Consider the following 17,690-nt stretch of genomic DNA (forward strand, 5'->3'; position numbering starts at 1 on the left):
GGAGTTTACCATACGAGCGCCAACGCTTTCTTACCAGTCATGCCTGGCCATTTGTTTCTCCTTTACTGAAAATCACTACTGCTGAACTCTAGGCCCACCCTCCCACCAGAAACTATGTACATGAGGGGAAATTAAGGTTTCCTGCCCAAGTCAAAGATGCATCCTTTATCTGGACACAGAGCACCTTGCCAAAGTTAGCCACTGGAAAATGTAAAATTCCCAGCCGGTCATTTTATTTTACTACATGCATACATCTATCTACAGGAACAGGAATTTCAAGCCTTAGACACAGGTGAGTTGCATTTTGGTGGGAAAAAAATAAAAAATCCTAAGGATTTCTTCCCTAGCTGCATATTGGACCACAATTCCCTGAAAATCGTCTGCAGGATCCCTTTCATGCCACACTCTCTGATGTGTGACATAATTCAGCAGAGAACGACAGTCATCACTTCCCACTAAAATAATGCTCAGTTGTTAGGCATTTTCCAAATCTCATAGATGTAATGAAGCTGGAGGTTGACTTCACTTACACATCTTCTGAGCACCTGCAATCTATACGTAATATAAAGATGAATGAGGCACTGTGTCTGCCTTTTGTAAGTTTAGAGTTTAGGAAGGGAAAGAAATCTATAAACAAATGGCTTCAATAATAAGGGGAAAATGAGGACAAAGTCACGTATGGAGAGCCCAAAAGAAGAGATGAGGATTAAAGAGTGTGTGATGGGCCGGGTGCGGTGGCTTATACCTGTAATCCCAGCACTTTGGGATGCCAAGGCGGGTGGATCACTTGAGGTCAGGAATTCGAGACCTGCCTGGCCAACGTGGTGAAACCTTGCCTCTACTAAAAATACAAAAATTAGCTGGACATGGTGGCTCACGCCTGTAATCCCAACTACTCAGGAGGCTGAGGCAGGAGAATTGCTTGAACCCGGGAAGTAGAGGTTGCAGTGAGCTGAGATCGTGCCACTGCACTCCAGCCTAGCCGACAGAGTGAGACTCATCTCAAAAGAAAAAAAAGACTGTGATGGTGAATTTTATGTGTCAGCTTGGCTAGGCCACAGTCCCCAGATATGTGGTCAAACATGTCTGGGTATCAATGGGAAAGTGTTTTTCAGTTGAGATTAGCATTTAAATCTGTAGACTTTAAAATCCTACATAATGTCAGCGGGGCTCATCCAATCAGTTGAAGGCATTTAAGAGAAAAAAGACCTACAAAGAAAAGGGAATTCTGCCTCAAGACTGTCCTCCTCAGACTCAAGCTGCATCATCAGCTCTTCCCAGGGTCTCTGGCCTGCCAGCTGCCCTGCAGATTGCAGACTTACGTCACCTCCAAGTTGCGTGAGACAATTTTATCAATCAATCTACCAATCTCTCTCTGCATGTACATACACGTGGGCCCTATCAGTTCTGCTTCTCTGGAGAACTCTGACTAATACAGACGGTTTTCTAAATAAGTGAGACAAAATAGGAAATGACCTCCAGACACTAAGTCCAATCCCCTTATTTAAAGACAATAAAACCAAGGCCCAGAGAGTTGGTGAGAACCCAAGGTCTGCGTCCCACCCCGCCATACCACCTGTTGGGGCTGCTCTTTGCCCAATTATTTTTTATGGCTGCCGCATGGAAGTGAGATCTGCATTCAGGTTATGCTGTGCATGTGGGGATAAGAATGTGCACTTTTTTTTTTTTTTTTTTTTTTTGAGATGGAGTCTCCTCTGTCACCCAGGCTGGAGTGCAGTGGTGCAATCTCAGCTCACTGCAACCTCCACCTCCCGGGTTCAAGCAATTCTCGTGCCTTGGCCTCCAGAGTAGCTGGGATTACAGGTGCGTGCCACCATGCCCAGCTGATTTTGTTGTTGTTGTTTTATTTTTTGCAGAGGCGGGGTTTCACCATGCTGGCCAGGCTGGTCTAGAACTCCTGACCTCAAGTGATCCGTCCACCTAGGCCTCCAAAAGTGCTGGGATTACAGACGTGAGCCATCGCGCCTGGCCGCACTTCTGAGACAGATTGACGGCCTGGGCTAAAGCCCCGGATCAGCCTTTTATTAACTGTTAAAACGTGGAGGTGCTATTCACCCTCCTCAGGCTTCAGTTTCTTTATCTGTAATGTGGGAATGATAGGGGAGTTACACAAGTAAAAGGAGTGAGTATTCATAAGGCACTTGGGCCCCTCCTTGTTACCTAGTGGGTACTCACCAGCTATTACCTGTTCATATAAAGCCCCATGGTCTTGATCTTAATCTTCATTTATCTCATAATGGCCAGGAAGACAGACTAATTTTATTAACCAAGTAAGACTGTTTCTATTTCTCCACATGGCCCAAGGAAAGTCCATTTGTTTCACAGCCTGGAAGCCAGTCAGGAGGCTCTTTTTTTTTTTTTTTTTGGAGACAGAGCCTCACTCTGTCACCCAGACTACAGTGCAGTGGCGTAATCTCGGCTCACTGCAACCTCCACTTTTTGGGTTCAAGCAAGCCTGAGCCTCCTGAGGAGCTGGGATTACAGGCGTGTAGCTCAGGAGCTGGGATTACAGGCATGTACCACCATGCCTGACTAATTTTTATATTTTTAGTAGAGACGGGATTTCACCATGTTGGCCAAGCTGGTCTCTAACTCCTGACCTCAAGTGATCCGCTCACCTCGGCCTCCCAAAGTGCTGCGATTATAGCTGTAAGCCACCGCGCCTGGCCAGGAGGGTCTATATTTAATGTCAGACATGGCCCCTCTCTTACAAGAGCAGGTCCACCAAGTCCAAGAGGGTTTGAGATGCACAGAGGGACACACATAACGAGGCAGAGACTCCGATCCAGTCCACTCTGAAAAAAATCCAGCTCCCCAGAGTTAAGGACCCTCACACCCCCCTTGAACAAGGCCTGGTGTTCTGGGAATATTCAACTCGAGTCTGCTTCCTCGCTCGGCCTTCCTCTAGCTTCTAGTGCAGGCTGGGCCACCTTGGGTCTGTATTGGGCCCCAGACTTTTGCTAAGGTTGCTGCTTCTGTCCATCCAGCATTTGGTGCCCATTATGTGTCCATCAATGCTGAGCTGCACCGTACTGGCCTTGCTCGGCAGGAACAAAAGTACCACCAGGCTCCTGAGACCTGGCCGGAGGGCTTAGTAGCATTTGCTTAAATCAAGGACAGAAGGGAGGACACCCCAGCCACACAGAGCAAAAGACCCCAAAGTGGGAACAGAGACGAGTCATGTGCTGGGAAACACACACAGGTAAGCCCTACACCTAGGGTTCAAAAATAGGACTCCACAAGAAACAGAGAACCTTTCAAGGTTTTTGGAATACAACTAGATGAGTAAAAGAATACTGAAGGAAATATCCCACACCAGAGGATACTAAGGCAGCAACATAGGTGATACAGTTTGGCTCTGTGTCCCCACCCGAATCTCAGCTTGAACTGTAATCGCCATAATCCTCACGTGTCAAGGGTGGGACCAGGTGGAGGTAATCGGATCATGGGGGCAGTTTCCCCTGTGCTGTTCTAGTGATAGTGAGTTCTCATGAGATCTGATGGTTTTATACGCGTCTGGCATTTTCCCTGCTTGCACTTCTCCTTCCTGCCACCCTGTGAAGAAAGTGCCTGCTTCCCCTTCCGCCATGACTGTGAGTTTCCTGAGGTCTCCCCAACTATGCTGAACTGTGAGTCAATTAAACCTCTTTCCAATATAAATTGCCCAGTCTCAGGAAGTTCTTTATAGCAATATAAAAACAGATTAATACAACAGGCAACATACCATGGTTAAGAAATCATGGTTCTGAACAGATTCCTAGTTCTAAGATAGGCAAACTCCTTAACCTATTACAGGAGCCAGTTTCATTCTCTGTAAAGTGGGGACACTAATGCTTATCTCCTTCAATTGTGAGGATAACATGAAATAACATGTACAGGCTTCCAAGAGCCCTGGTCCACGGTACACACACCAACACCTGCAATCACGGTGAGGGGCAGCAACAGCAGTCAGAGAATTACAGCAGCACAATACACATGTGGCCCTTCCGTCTGAAAAAGGTGTCCTGCACACTCAGAAAGATACTCTGGTCAAAGTATACTCCTAAGTTCTTTCTTTCAAGATGCAAAAGCTACATGAAAAAAGTGTTACTGACCTGCATGGACCATCCCTTCACAGTGTTACCTGAAGCTGTTGTCAGAAAGAATGGGGATAAGAAATGACCCTGTATGGTCTGTTTTATAGGTAATATTTTTTATGAAATACAAACTTGCTAATCAGTAGTGGGAGTCTGCCTATGAATAGCCACTATGCTCCAGCCTGGGTAACACAGCAAGATCTCATCTTTAAAAAACAAACTTCATCATAAAAAAGAATCTTAGCTTTTATGACAACACCCACCCCATTCTCTCCCCTACCAAAAAAATAAAAATAAAAAAATAATCACAGCCAGTGTCAGCTAAGTTCACTCGAGTCTGTCCTTGGGCATCCATCTCTATTAAGAACCAGGAATAAAACAAAGCAGATTTTTGAAAAGCTTAGACAGTCAAGTTCTTGCCAAGCCCTCTCACAAAGCCAATTTATTTTAATTTTCAACTTATTCATAAACACACAAATACTTGAGCATACATTATGTGCCAGGACCTTACCTTGGTGATATAAATTATTTGCCCCTGGCAATTGAGTGACAGCGACTTAGGAAAAGGTGATGGTGTGTAAAGTGGATGCTATGGTTTGAATGGGCATGCCTGTTCTAAATTCACAGGTTGGAAGTTCACCCCAGCATCAGTGTTAAGAGGTGGGGCCTCTAAGAGGTGATCAGGTCGCTACGGCAGAGCCCTCCTGAAGGGGATTAGTGTCCTTACAGAAGGCTGGAGAGAACTAACCAGGCCCATTTTGTCCTTCTGTTTCCTCCACGATGGGAGGACACAGAGGTCCATCTGGGAAGCAGAGAGTGGTCCTTGTTACAGTCGTACAAATGGAGCAAGGCAGTAGAAATCAACCAATTGGAAATAAAGAAGTCTGGCAGAGATAGGTTCATCAACAGTAAGAAAAAAGTGAAAAGCGGACAGGAAAGAAATGGCAGAGGTCCTAAAGGCATGCACAGAAATTAACAAGGAAAACATCTACAGAGGAAAGAACTTATTTTCAAACAGGGATAGCTAAGTGAAGTTGAGGCCATTCTTCCTGACCAAGAAGCAGAGACCCCCAGCAAGCTCTTTCCTTCCAGCCCACAGAAGAATCATACTCAACTCATACTCACTACTTTCTCATTGGTGTTAACATAAGAGATGAAATCTATTTGCTTTTCCTGCTTTTAGACAGCTTAGACATTTTAATCACCCCTGCAGTTACCACCTGTACATCAAAAGCCCTGTGCCACTGCTGTTTATGTTGCTGCCAACAAATGAATCACAATGCTTGCATTGTCTTTACCGCGCTCTATCTAAGATAGGGAAGTACACACAACATTCTGGAATGGCGGCACGTTTTGGTTATGAGAGAGTTAAATGTCATTACACTGGAACATAGTGATGCTAAATAAAAGGAGACATCATTCTACTTCAAATGCACCTACAACTTTAAAATGGCATCTGACACCAACCTGGATTCTTCGGATGCTGACGATTGCCTCTGACACCCTCTCAATGGCTGAGGGGAAGAAGAGGGTAACCGTCAGCCGCACAGCCCCATACAGCGTCACTGCCACGAACACGCGGCTGGCTGTGATCACACTGCCGAGGAGCACGTAGGTGGTGAAGGTCACAAACACGATGATTTTGCTTGCACTGAAAAATGAAGCCAAATTCATCCCTCTGAGGCAGGAACTTCTCAGAATCTTGGAAATCTCCTTCCTGAAAGAGAGTACAGGTTTTTAAAAAAGCAGTGATGTCAACCAGATAAAGTGGCTCACGCCTGCAATCTCAGCACTTTGGGAGCTGAGGTGGATGAATTGTTTGAACCCAGGAGTTTGAGACCATCCTGGGCAACAACAACAAAAAAGTGCAAAGGTGAGAGGTGGCCAGGAACTACCCAAGAAATCATAAGAAGTATCATGTGCTGGAATGCAACAACTAATCAAATATTTAATCCAAAAGCCAAAAAAAAAATACATATTTTGTTTTTTGAGACAGAGTTTCACTCTTGTCGCCCAGGCAATGGTGCGATCTCAGCTCACTGCAACCTCCGCCTCCTGGTTCAAGCGATTCTCCTGCCTCAGCCTCTCAAGTAGCTAGGATTACAGGCATGTGCCACCACGCCCAGCAAATGTTTGTATTTTTAGTAGAGACAGGGTTTCACCATGTTGGCCAGGCTGGTCTCAAACTCCTGACCTCAGGTGATCCACCCGCCTCAGCCTCCCAAAGTTCTTGGATTACAGGCATGAGCCACTGCGCCCAGCCCCCTCCAAAATTTCTAATAAAACAAAGCACAACTAACAGTATTTCCATGCCTGTTTGGAATGAAAAATACTGATTCATATAGTTTGGTCCAATATAGATATGCCCAGTCTCTATAACTTGTCCATTTGGCTACATTAATATAAATTATAGTTTTATTTTAAACACCATTATTCTCAAATACTAACATCTTAGACTCATTGTTGGGATTTGGGATATTCAGAAACATTTGGAATTTCACTTTTGTATTAGTAAGAAGCATACATGCTTTCTGTTTAAGAACATGGTAAATGGAAGACCAAGTGAAAATAACGTTCTCTACCATTCTACTTAACCCAACTGCCAAGCGTGGGGACTGGGATGGATTGTACTGAACTTCCCATAATGTGAAAACATAGTAAAACTTCTAAAACCATCAACAAGAATAGCAAATAGAAAAATACAAAAATATGGTACAATGTATACAAAAACTTACTTTCTCAAATTGGTAATAAGATTTGAAAATGACTTTTCCCAGGCGTACATTTTTATTATCCTTATACCAGTTATAACTTCATTCATGGTCCTGATCCTGGCATCCGTGAAAGTTGCAGTTTTACTCCTAAGGGGAACCAGACACGGGAGATGAGCCTGAGCGATCACAGCCTGCCCTTATCAGCGGCAGGCACAGGCAGGGACCTGCATCACATGGTTCCCTACAGCGCTTTTGCTTCCGACAACACAGACAGGTCCTACTCAAAATACAAATAGAAAAAGACTTCGATTAGGAAGTCAACAATCTATACCAACTCAACAAGTATTTTGGAGAATTTGTAATATCTGCTGAGGAAGACATGAAAATGAGTCAGATGTCATCTGTCCCCTCGAGGAGCTCACAGGTGGGCAGGAAAGGCAGAAAGGCACCCGAGCCTGACGATAACACAGTGGTCAGAGAGTGCTAAAATGGGAATGAAGTGCTGGGGAGCAGAAAAGAAAGGGCTGTTTGTTAACTCCACCGGGAAAGAGGAGAGCAAAAAAAAAAAAAAAAGCTTCAGAGGACCAGGAGCATTTGAACGGGGCCTCAAAGGACAAGGACTATTTCTCCAGATGGCAAAGAGGGGAAGGTCCAAGTAGAAAATACACCATAAGCAAAAGCATAAAACAAAGAACTCAATGCACTTCCAACAGTGGCTCATCTCGATCCAGCTGACAACCTTGACAATGAACCATTTCCAATTCGTTGGAACCTGCTTCAAGTCTAATTTATTTTATCATCATTAATCTCTTGATCAAAAGCTGTATTTCTTTTTTTTTTTTTTTTTTTTTTTTTTTTTTGAGACAGAGTCTCACTCTGTCACCCAGGCTGGAGTGCAGTGGCATAATATCGGCTCACTGCAACCTCTGCCTCCTGGATTCAAGTGATTCTCGTGCCTGAGCCTCCCAAGTAGCTGGGATTACAGGCGTGTACCACCATGCCCAGCTAATTTTTTAAATTTAGTAGAGACGGAGTTTTGTCATGTTGGCCAGGCAGGTCTCAAACTCCTGGCCTCAAGTGATCCACCTGCCTTGGCCTCCCAAAGTGTTGGGATTACAGGCTTCAGCCACCACGACCAGCTAACAACCATATTCCTAACACATATGCTACTAGGACTGTGTGATTTTATAACTACATCATTAAAATTCACCTTGCCTTTGGGGAGCTTACAATTTAATGGAAATACTGAATTAAAAATAACACACATATATACACGTGAAAACAGCTCTAACACAAGCACGGTAAAGATGTATGCAGCTAGAATGGAGCCTATGAAACATTTCAATTTATCATTATTCATTATATGTTTAACTAACTTCTACATATGTGATTTCTGCTTAAGGACACTCTACTTATTGAGGCCACAGCGCCTGAAAAGCTGGCTGGGAGGAGCCAGTGAATGCCTTCACCTTTCTCCCTTGAAGATTTGCCTTCAGCATAAGGACAGAGGCCCCCTTGGCTGAGCCTGAAGAGCTGCAACATATGCAAGGAAGAGATAATAAAAGGCATTTAGTTTGTTTCTGAACAAAAGCATTGGGAAGACTGTGGATGTTACCAAATACATATGACATTTTTCACAGCAGTATTTCTCTTACCTCAGTGATGAGAACAACTTCCCAAAACAGCTTTGCAAGGGCAGGAGAATGATTAGAACTGCCATCCCAGCAAGGCACGATATTCCTATCTCCATCCAGAGTAGGGCAGTCACTGCAATCGCCTGCAGTGGTCCTGCCCACAGGAAGTGTAAGAACACTGTCACCTTTAAAGAAAAAGACAGAGCGTTCTTAGGACTCCAGAAAAGCAAAACCAGTAAGAACACAGTACAGAAACGATCCACTGGAAAAGAACAGGCAAGATCCTAAACAGAAATGGCCACAGTGGGTTTACACCTGCTAAAGCAGAAAGCCAAGCACCCACCACAGGTGAAGCCATTCTGGGGAAACAAAGAGTGGGTCTGGGAGACTCGCAAGAGAATCCGACCAGCGGCATTAGAAGAATGTCTTGATCGTGACTATCTTCACTGATGAGCTGAGCATTTTCCAGAACTCTCTGCCACAGAATTCAGCTCCCATATGCCCTGGGGCTCCCCAGTACCCCAAGAAAACCTGTACTACAGTGCCCACCACATACTCCAGTAATTTACTTGTGTGTTTGTCTCCCAGACAGGCAGTGAGCTTCTTCAGAACAGAAACCAAGTCTTATTCATTGTCCCTGACACTGAGCGGAGGCTTTAGTTCATTCTGATGAATGAATAATTGGAAAAAAGAAGTGGTCCTAGTGCAAAATGAATATGGCCAGCAGCTAGAATGCCCTGGAAAAATGATACCGCTACAAGGTAAGTATTAAACAATGGATACTGGGCGGGTATGGTGTTCACACCTGTAATCCCAGCACTTTGGGAGGCCAAGGTAGCGAGAATCGCTTGAGGCCAGAATCTTGAGACCAGCCTGCGCAACAAGGCGTGATCCCTTCTCTACAAATAATAAAAAAAGAAATTAGCCAGCAATCCTTTTGTAGTTCATGAGCATGATAATCGGGTGTTCACGCACTTGTGTGAGATGTGCCACCCTTGAATTTTGTTATGATGTTTCCACAATAGCCCATCTGACATGAAAATTCAAAAAAAAAGAAATTAGCTGTTCACGGTGATGCACACCTGTAGTCACAGCTAATCAGGAGGCTGAGACAGGAGGATCGCACATCACTTGAGCCCAGGAGTTCAAGCCTTCAGCGAGCTATGATCCTGCCACTGCAATCCAGTGTGAACAGAGTGAGCCCCTGCCTCCAGAAAGAATAAAAGGGGAAAGAGGGGTGTTTAATGCAATGAAAAAGGATCCCTGAGCTGCAGCTTACCTGATCAAACTTGTTCACATCATTGGACAGCAGATTGACTATCTGGCCTGTGGTTGTCTTCCCCATGGCCATGTTACTAAGACGAAGTGCCTGAAATAAAAGAGGTAAGTAGAGAATTGTATTCATGCAGTGATACTAAGTCAGGCTTAGGACACAGCAGACCTGAGGAAGTCTCGTGTGATGTCAAGACCAGATCTAAGCACAAGCATCCCCACCCCCCCACTGCCCCCTCTCTCTGCCCCACCAGCACCTTTAGTGGTGGCAGCTGTGTCAGGACAGCAAAGCGAGAGGTAGGAAGAAGAAAAATCTCCCACCTCATTTAATGAATTTGGACACGCCCCCAAGTACAAAAGGACATAAGTTTCTACTTAAGAGCCAACCAAAGTAATTTTGAGCCAAATTAGGGAAGAACAGAGAGGCTGTCAGAGGAACAAAATGAGAGGACGTGGACTATAAATCCGTACCAATCACTAATTCTCTGTGCAACATTATTAAACACATGGGGCCTTAGTCTCTTCACCCTGCCTGGATCACAGGGTTTCAATGTGTTCAATGGGAAATGACAAATATGGAGTATCAACTATCTGGAGGACACCAGGAGCCCCAGCAGATACAGTGACACAGTCATGTTTTCCTGCCTTGGGAGACAGGGCTAGGTATGTCCAGACACCTGTGATTCAACTGTGACCTGCACAGAGAACTGGGGACAGTTCGAACTGAGGGACACTGGGTGGGAGAGACCCTGGACGATGAAGGAGGGACTTTATGGAGGGAAGGGAAGGGCACTGCAGGGGAGGCCTAGCTAGGACAGAAGTACGGAGAAGGAGGATGTGGAGGCTGCTGAATAAAGAACACCCCAAACCTGGCTGAAGCAGGTGAAGCTCATGGAAGCGGGGCTGAAACAGGTGAAGCTTATGGAAATGGGGCTGAAGCAGGTGAAGCTCATGGAAGCAGGGCTGAAGCAGGTGAAGCTTATGGAAGGCAATATGGAACAGTACGTGTGGTTTTTCAAGTTAGAGGGAGAAACTCAACTTAAGGAAGGTTAAACAGTAGAAGCAATTGGCCAGGAGACTACTGGAAGGAGGAGAATGAGTTGCCGCTGGAATAACAGTCCAGGCAAAAGGCAACAAGACTGTCAACGAGGGCTATGTGAATGGGAAAAAAAGGGCCAGATAGAAGTGAAAACATTTTGAAAAGTTAAAAAATGGCCGGGCGCGGTGGCTCACACCTGTAATCCCAGCACTTAGTGGGGCTGAAGGCAGATCACTTGAGGTCAGGAGTTCGAGATCAGCCTGGCCAACATGGTGAAACCCTGTCTCTACTAAAAATACAAAAATTAGCTTGGTGTGGTGGTGTGCACCTGTAATCCCAGCTACTCGGGAGGCTGAGGCAGAAAATCACTTGAACCGGGAGGCAGGGGTTGCAATCAGCCAAGATTGCACCACTGTACTCCAGTCTGGGTGACAGAGTGAGACTGTCTCAAAAAAAAAAAAATTAAAAAATGCTATTATGCAAATATAAGTGAATCAATCGTAAAATACAAAGAAAGAAGAAAATGTAGGAGTGAGGGAGAAGAAAGGGAAGGAGAGAGACCAGCCCGCCCCTGTAGGAAAGAAACAGAACGTAATGTGCCTTATTGACTACAAACTATCTGTAAATATTTATAAAGCCAGTCTTACATACAAAATGTTAATCCCACATGCAGAAAATACCACATTTTTAAAGCATGTAAATTTGATACCTAATTTTAAAAAAATAAAAGCAAAATGTCAACACCAAACTCTAAGCCTAAGCTGACCCTTTTCAAGAAATCTGAAGTCAATTGTGCCCAACTTGAACTATCATCCACAGATTGTGTCTGAGGCCAACAATGAGGATTTAGGTAAGACAGCACAGATGCCAATTTGTGAAAAAGACAAAGTTCTTCTGGGTGCACCAGGAGGGCTACTTGTAAGTCGTGTATTACTGTGACCAGGTGTAGAGGTGGAATAAAAGGCTGGGCAGATACTCGGGTTGTAATAGAAGTTAACCCAAGTGAACGATAACTCTACAGTCAACACAGAAATTAAGGGCCTGCTGAAATTAAATCAGTCATACTCCAGATAGGATAAAAAAAATCATGAAGGGCCATGAATATTATTAATGAGGAAGACATGCCAGGTGCGGTGGCTCACACCTGTAATCCCAGCACTTTGGGAGGCTGAGGCAGGCAGATCACCTGAGGTCGGGAGTTCGAGACCAGCCTGGTCAACACGGTGAATCCCTGTCTCTACAAAAATACAAAAATTAGCCAGGCATGATGGCAGGTGCCTGTAATCCCAGCTACTCAGGAGGCTGAGGCAGGAGAATCACTTGAACCCAGGAGGCAGAGGCTGCAGTGAGCCAAGATCGTGCCATTACACTCCAGCTTCGGCGACTGAGCAAGATTCCATCTTAAAAAAAAAAAAAGAGGAAGACACAGCTGACAAGCAAACTACCAGGCTTCTGCTTCCAACCATGAGAGAGGACTTGCCCTCCCCTGGAAAACTGTAACGTTGGGCAAAACATATGACACAGCTGTTTTCAGGCACTGGACCACAGGTAACACAGGCTGTGAGCCTCAAGAGACGGGAAATGTAGGTGGTGGCCCGGGACTGACCTGGCTTTATGCCTGAGGACATTTTCTGCCCAAGCAAAACAGTTTCACTGAGCGGTGGAGGAAGAGATGGTTGTTCCAAGTTGTAGAAGCATCTGGAATTTGTGAGCCTGAGTAGCAGAGGGTTTGCCCCAGAAGTTTCAGTAGGGATTTACCCAGGGTACTTTGCCAACGGCTTCATAAGCAGGGCCAGACTCCATGAGGCCTAGGAAAGCAGCAGCTATGGGGCTGAGTGCTGACCGAAGATTCTGGAGGTCATGCAGTAGGAGATGCCGCCCGAGGAGAGGAAGGAAATCTCCACTGGGCCTCAGGCATTCACCTGAGACACCAGGAAGGCTATGTCTTAGTAATAAAGATCTCACCCTAGATTAACAGCTGTGCACTTGGAATAAGTTCAGAATGGAGCTACCTGCCCTATGATTAACTGATTGACAGACAGACAGAAGGATTCAATGCTAAAGGGGCCAATCTGCCAGGAATTTAACTACCTGCATGAACAAAACTCAATGCTCTTTAATCCAGACTCCCTATAGTATATCGATCATAATGTTCAACATAGTAAAACAATTACTAGATACACAAGGAAACAATAAAATGTGACCTGTAATCAAAGGAGGGAAATGGCAACAGAAATAGACCCTGAAATGATCCAGATTTTGGAATTAGTAAACAACAACTATGAAGCACCTATTATAATATGTCAAGGAGTTAAAGAAAAATATGGTTATAACAAGTAGATGTGAGTTTAGGAGCGAGATAGGTAATATCAAAAAGAACCAAATAGAACTTCTCAAACTGAAAAGGTAATACCTGAAATGAAAAATAAATTAGATATCATTAATAGCAGATACTTTCCATTGATTTATTCCCAGAGTCGCTAACCCTTCCTTCTATAGTTTACAACTGAAATCTGAAGAACAAACAGAAAAAAAGAGTTAAGAAAAAGAACAAAGACTGAATGAAGGTCCTTATGGAAGAATATTAAGCAATAAAATATTCATGTAATTGGAGTCCTAAAAGAAGAAGAAATAGGGGAAGAAAAAATATTTGAACAAATAATGACTGGAATTTTACCAAAGTTGGTAGCAAATATTAATTTACATAATGAAGAATCTTAGCAAGTTCAATGAAGGACAAAAACAAAGAGATCTATACCTAGACACACATTAAACACAGAGAAACAACAAAAACAAGCAGAAGCTGACACACCAGAAACAATGAAAACAAGAAGACAACAGAACAATATTTACAGTGCTGAAAGACAGACAAAAATAACTGGCCAGGTGCGGTGGCTCATGCCTGTATTCCCAGCACTTTGGGTGGTTGAGGCGGGCAGATCACTCGAGCCCAGGACTTCGAGACCAGCCTGGCCAACATGGTGAGACCCCGCCTCTACTAAAAATACAAAAATTAGCCGGGCACAGTGGTGGGCACCTGTAATTCCAGCCACTCCGGAGGCTCAGGCAGGAAAATCACTTGAACCTGGGAGGCAGAGGTTGCAGTGAGCCGAGATCGCGCCACTCCACTCCAGCCTGGGTGATAGGTGAGACTCCAATTCAAAAAAAAAAAAAAAAAAACACCTGTCAACTCTGAATTCTATCACCAACACAAAATGTCCTTTAAAATATGAGGGTGAAATTAGGACATTTTCAGAAAAAGGCTGAGAGACTTTATCAGCAATGAACCTGAACTGTAAAAAACAGCGTAAAGAATACTTTTCAAGCTATAAGGAGATGGTATCAAATGGAAACTCAGATCTACAGAAAGAATAAAGAGAAACCAAAATGACCAATGTGAGTAAATATAAGGACAGGCTGGGCATGATAGCTCATGCCTGTTATCCCAACATTTTGGGAGGCTGAGGCAGTCAAATTGCTTGAGCTCAGGAGTTCGCGACCAGCCTGGGCTCCACAAAAAATATAACAATTCTCCAGGCATGGTGCCACACACTTGTAGACCCAGCTACTCGGGGGCTGACGTGGGAGAATCGCTTGAACCCACGAGGCGGAGGTTGCAGTGAGCCAAGATCACACCACTCCACTCCAGCCGGGGTGACAAAGTGAGGCCTTGTCTAAAAAAAAATAAAAAATAAATAAAAAGAAGACAAATTACTTTGAAAAACAACTAGCTGCTTAGAGCAAAAATGGTAATGGTGCATTTTGGAGACAGAAGTAAAATATACGACAATAGCACACAAGATGGGGAAGGTAATAGAATTTTACTGTTGCATACTTCTAACTTTTAAGGTAAAATAGTCCTTATGTTGGGCCGTCAGTAAATTTCAATCAATATCTGAACATAAAAATGTTACACAGAATGTATTCTGGTGACAGCAGAATTAAATTACAGATCAACAATAAGACATCTCTAACAACTCAAAATATCTGAATATTAACAATATTTCTAAATAAGCATGTGTCAAAGATGACATCATAAGGGAAATCTGAAATATTTTAAAGTAAATGATAATAATTTGCGAGTTATAGCTAAAGCAAGTCTTAGAGTAAACTTTTGGCTTTAAGGACTTTGCATTTAAAAAGAAGGCATAAAATTGATAATCAAAGTTCTACCTAAAATCAACACCAAAGAAACAAACAAACAACAACAACAAAACACTGCTCACATCCTCAGAAGTACAATTAGTGTAATCATATATCTGTGTTACCCTCAGCAGCTACCAGAATATATAGACCAAGTCATATTCATTTATGTCATTATGATCATAAATCAAGCTACCATTTAGTAAGCACCTACTGTAAGCCAGACAACTGAACAAGAAAACAACTATGAAGTAAGAATTATTCCTATTTTGTAGATGAGAAGATAAAAATAAACTCAAACTACTTACATCTGACAGAGAACAAGCAATTATTTTTTCAATGAAGCAAAGTTACCAGTGTTTCTCATTAATGTAGAAAACTAAAGTTTGGTTCCAATAAAGTGTCCATGTTATAGTTTAAAAGAGTTCACATCCAATGTACAGAAAAAATCTGTAAATTAATGTATCATCGTTCTGCAAATATTTTGATTCTATGCTTCATTAACCTGACAGGTTATAAAAGGACACCATTAGATTAAATTTGTTTTCCCTGTGAAAACAAAATAGTTCTACCATGAGAACAAATAAAAGGCAACTAAAACAAACTGAAATCAAAACCTGTAGTACACATCCCAGACCCAAAATATCTTTAATAAATCAACGGCCCCTACATATCGATATGAATTATAAATGCCTACCAATTATTTTTTAAAAGGAGCAAAGAATGTGTGCAGGAAATTCACAAAAAAAAAAAAAAAAAAAAAAAACCAGCACAAATGGCCAAGGAAATGCAAATGCTGAAATCCACTATTACACAAAGCCATGTAAATTAAAACAACAATGCATTATTTTTCACCTATGAAAATTGGTGAGATTGACAGTGATTATTAAAATATAACATCAAATCTGGACTTGTAGGGAGCTCTCTCATTTCACCGGGGAAAATGTAAGTAATTAACAACTCTTGGGGAGGAAATCAATCTAGCATAGCAAAAGCCTTGAAATTTGTACGCCCTAGGAAATGAAGGATCTGTCCAAATGTTTAGCTTTAATCATGTCCATTAAAATGCTATTTGTAATATACAAAAACTAGAAGACATCTAACTATCTAATTACTAAAAACTGGAAAACATCTGAGTATCTAATTATTGGTTACTCTAGAATCCGCATGCCATTAAGAACAATACTGTGAATGGTGGAAGTAAACACCATCAGAGCAGGGCACCATTTGATAGCTGCTTACTACTGAAGGCAGGCAAGGAAATACATTTGAGATTACAAGAAAACTGTACTATCTAGAACAAAACATTAATTGTATTCAATTTCTTAAAAATAAATCATGTAATATCTAGCTTCATTTGAAAAATATAAACTGTTTCTTCTTTCTTGATTATTTTAATCAGTGTGGCCACATAAATATCACCATCAAAGGGAGGTGGAAGGAGAGAATGACCTTTTCATGGAACTGAGTTTTCCAGACTGGTGAGATGAATATCCCTTTTTGGATTAAATGCATTAATCCAATCTTCATTTTAACAGATGTCTTTCCCCCCTCTCTAATAGTCCTTTTAAAACAGAAGATGCGGCTGGGCACGGTGGCTCATGCCTGTAATCCTAGCACTTTGGGAGGCCAGGGAGGGCGGATCACCTTAGATCAGGAGTTCGAGACCAGCCTGGCCAACATGGTGAAACCCCGTCTCTACTAAAAATACAAAAATTAGCTGGGCATGGTGGCGCACACCCCTGCAATCCCAGCTACTGGGGAGGCTGAGGCAGGAGAATCGCTTGAACCCGAGAGGCAGGGGTTGCAGTGAGCCAAGATTGCGCCACTCCAGCCAGGGTGACAGTGAGACTCCTTCTCAAAAATTAAAAAAATAAATAAATAAAACAAAAGATGCAAACCGCAGTTCATCACCTTCACGATGCAAATTCCTCACAACAATATGGCTCTTACCCAGTGTCAATGACCCGGGGTGGACAGGGATGCTCCTCTCACAGAGTCCCCAAATGGCCACACTTTTCGGATTCGGGTACTTCCTGATCCATCTTGCCCCTGGCTGTCAGGCTATCAGGTATCTCTTTATTCTCATCAGAATGTCACACCATTACCTACTAGTGTTTTAGACTAGGATGTGGCTTTTGAGTGCTGTAAGTAAAGTCAGAGTAAAAACGTTCTGAATAAGCATATAAAGTAAGTATTATCTATCTTATTTATTTTATGTTTTGCTTACTTCCTGGTTCATGACCCTACCCCAGAGTTGAGTTTGTGAGGTAATGAAACTTCCAATTAAACTGGGTATTTCTGCAACAGGCAACTAGGATGAGTATGTTTAATCACTTGAAGCAGAAAATTGCCTGTATTTTTCCAATACTGTTGGCCAGAGTTGCTTAGTAACAACATATCTACTTTAATGACTGCACAATCTAAAACCAATAATCTCTGTTTCTGAGGGGATGATCCAAGGACTGGCTAATATCCTCCTTCCTCGTAAACATGATGGGTGACTACCAAAGTCACATTCCTTCTCTAATTCTGTAAAAGAAATGAAATTTAAGGAGATGAAAATGTCCATCCAAAATCAACAACCTGTATGTTCTTTATAATCTGACAGTTTCACTGCCTTCTGAGGCTTTTGTTTGTGTTTCACCTGATTTTTCATGGCTGGAATACAAGCCTGAAAACCTATACAGAAAGTTCTCCGTAGGCCAGGTAGGGTGGCTCATGCCTGTAATCCCAGCACTTTAGAAGACCAAGGCGGCAAGATCACATGAGCCCAGGAGTTCAAGACTAG

General features: G+C 43.0%; 1 protein-coding gene and 1 non-coding gene across 8 annotated transcripts in view, besides 2 other annotated features; one reads left to right on the forward strand and one right to left on the reverse strand.

The window, feature by feature from the left end:
• ABCC4 (ATP binding cassette subfamily C member 4 (PEL blood group)) overlaps positions 1–17,690 on the reverse strand; it is a 281,617-nt gene that overhangs the window by 181,133 nt on the left and 82,794 nt on the right. For 6 of the 7 annotated variants that reach the window (NM_001301829.2, NM_005845.5, XM_047430034.1 and 3 more), the window contains 4 exons: positions 9,725–9,814; positions 8,467–8,630; positions 6,833–6,958; positions 5,565–5,814 (listed from right to left, as the gene is read on the reverse strand). In NM_001301829.2, the coding sequence (NP_001288758.1) occupies positions 5,565–5,814; positions 6,833–6,958; positions 8,467–8,630; positions 9,725–9,814 (630 nt within the window). Of the gene's footprint in view, positions 1–5,564; positions 5,815–6,832; positions 6,959–8,466; positions 8,631–9,724; positions 9,815–16,852; positions 17,628–17,690 lie in introns of those variants that run through there. The other variant, XM_047430035.1, reaches the window with a different exon arrangement.
• Positions 2,956–3,456: an enhancer, noted in NCBI's record as "H3K27ac hESC enhancer chr13:95856177-95856677 (GRCh37/hg19 assembly coordinates)". NCBI's record gives its function as "activates a minimal SCP1, AML or CMV promoter by ChIP-STARR-seq in primed H9 embryonic stem cells {active_cell/tissue: H9 hESC(primed)}" and the evidence as "EXISTENCE:reporter gene assay evidence [ECO:0000049][PMID:30033119]".
• Positions 8,421–9,620: an enhancer, noted in NCBI's record as "BRD4-independent group 4 enhancer chr13:95861642-95862841 (GRCh37/hg19 assembly coordinates)". NCBI's record gives its function as "activates an origin of replication core promoter dependent on BRD2, P300/CBP, MED14 and CDK7 cofactors, and independent of BRD4, by STARR-seq in HCT116 cells {active_cell/tissue: HCT116}" and the evidence as "EXISTENCE:reporter gene assay evidence [ECO:0000049][PMID:35650434]".
• On the forward strand, positions 9,377–9,481 carry SNORD13G (small nucleolar RNA, C/D box 13G). The gene has a single exon (NR_145733.1). It is a non-coding gene; the product is annotated as a small nucleolar RNA, C/D box 13G (small nucleolar RNA).

This window comes from Homo sapiens, chromosome 13 (genome assembly GCF_000001405.40).
Source record: "Homo sapiens chromosome 13, GRCh38.p14 Primary Assembly".
In the NCBI taxonomy this organism is placed as follows: domain Eukaryota; kingdom Metazoa; phylum Chordata; class Mammalia; order Primates; family Hominidae; genus Homo; species Homo sapiens.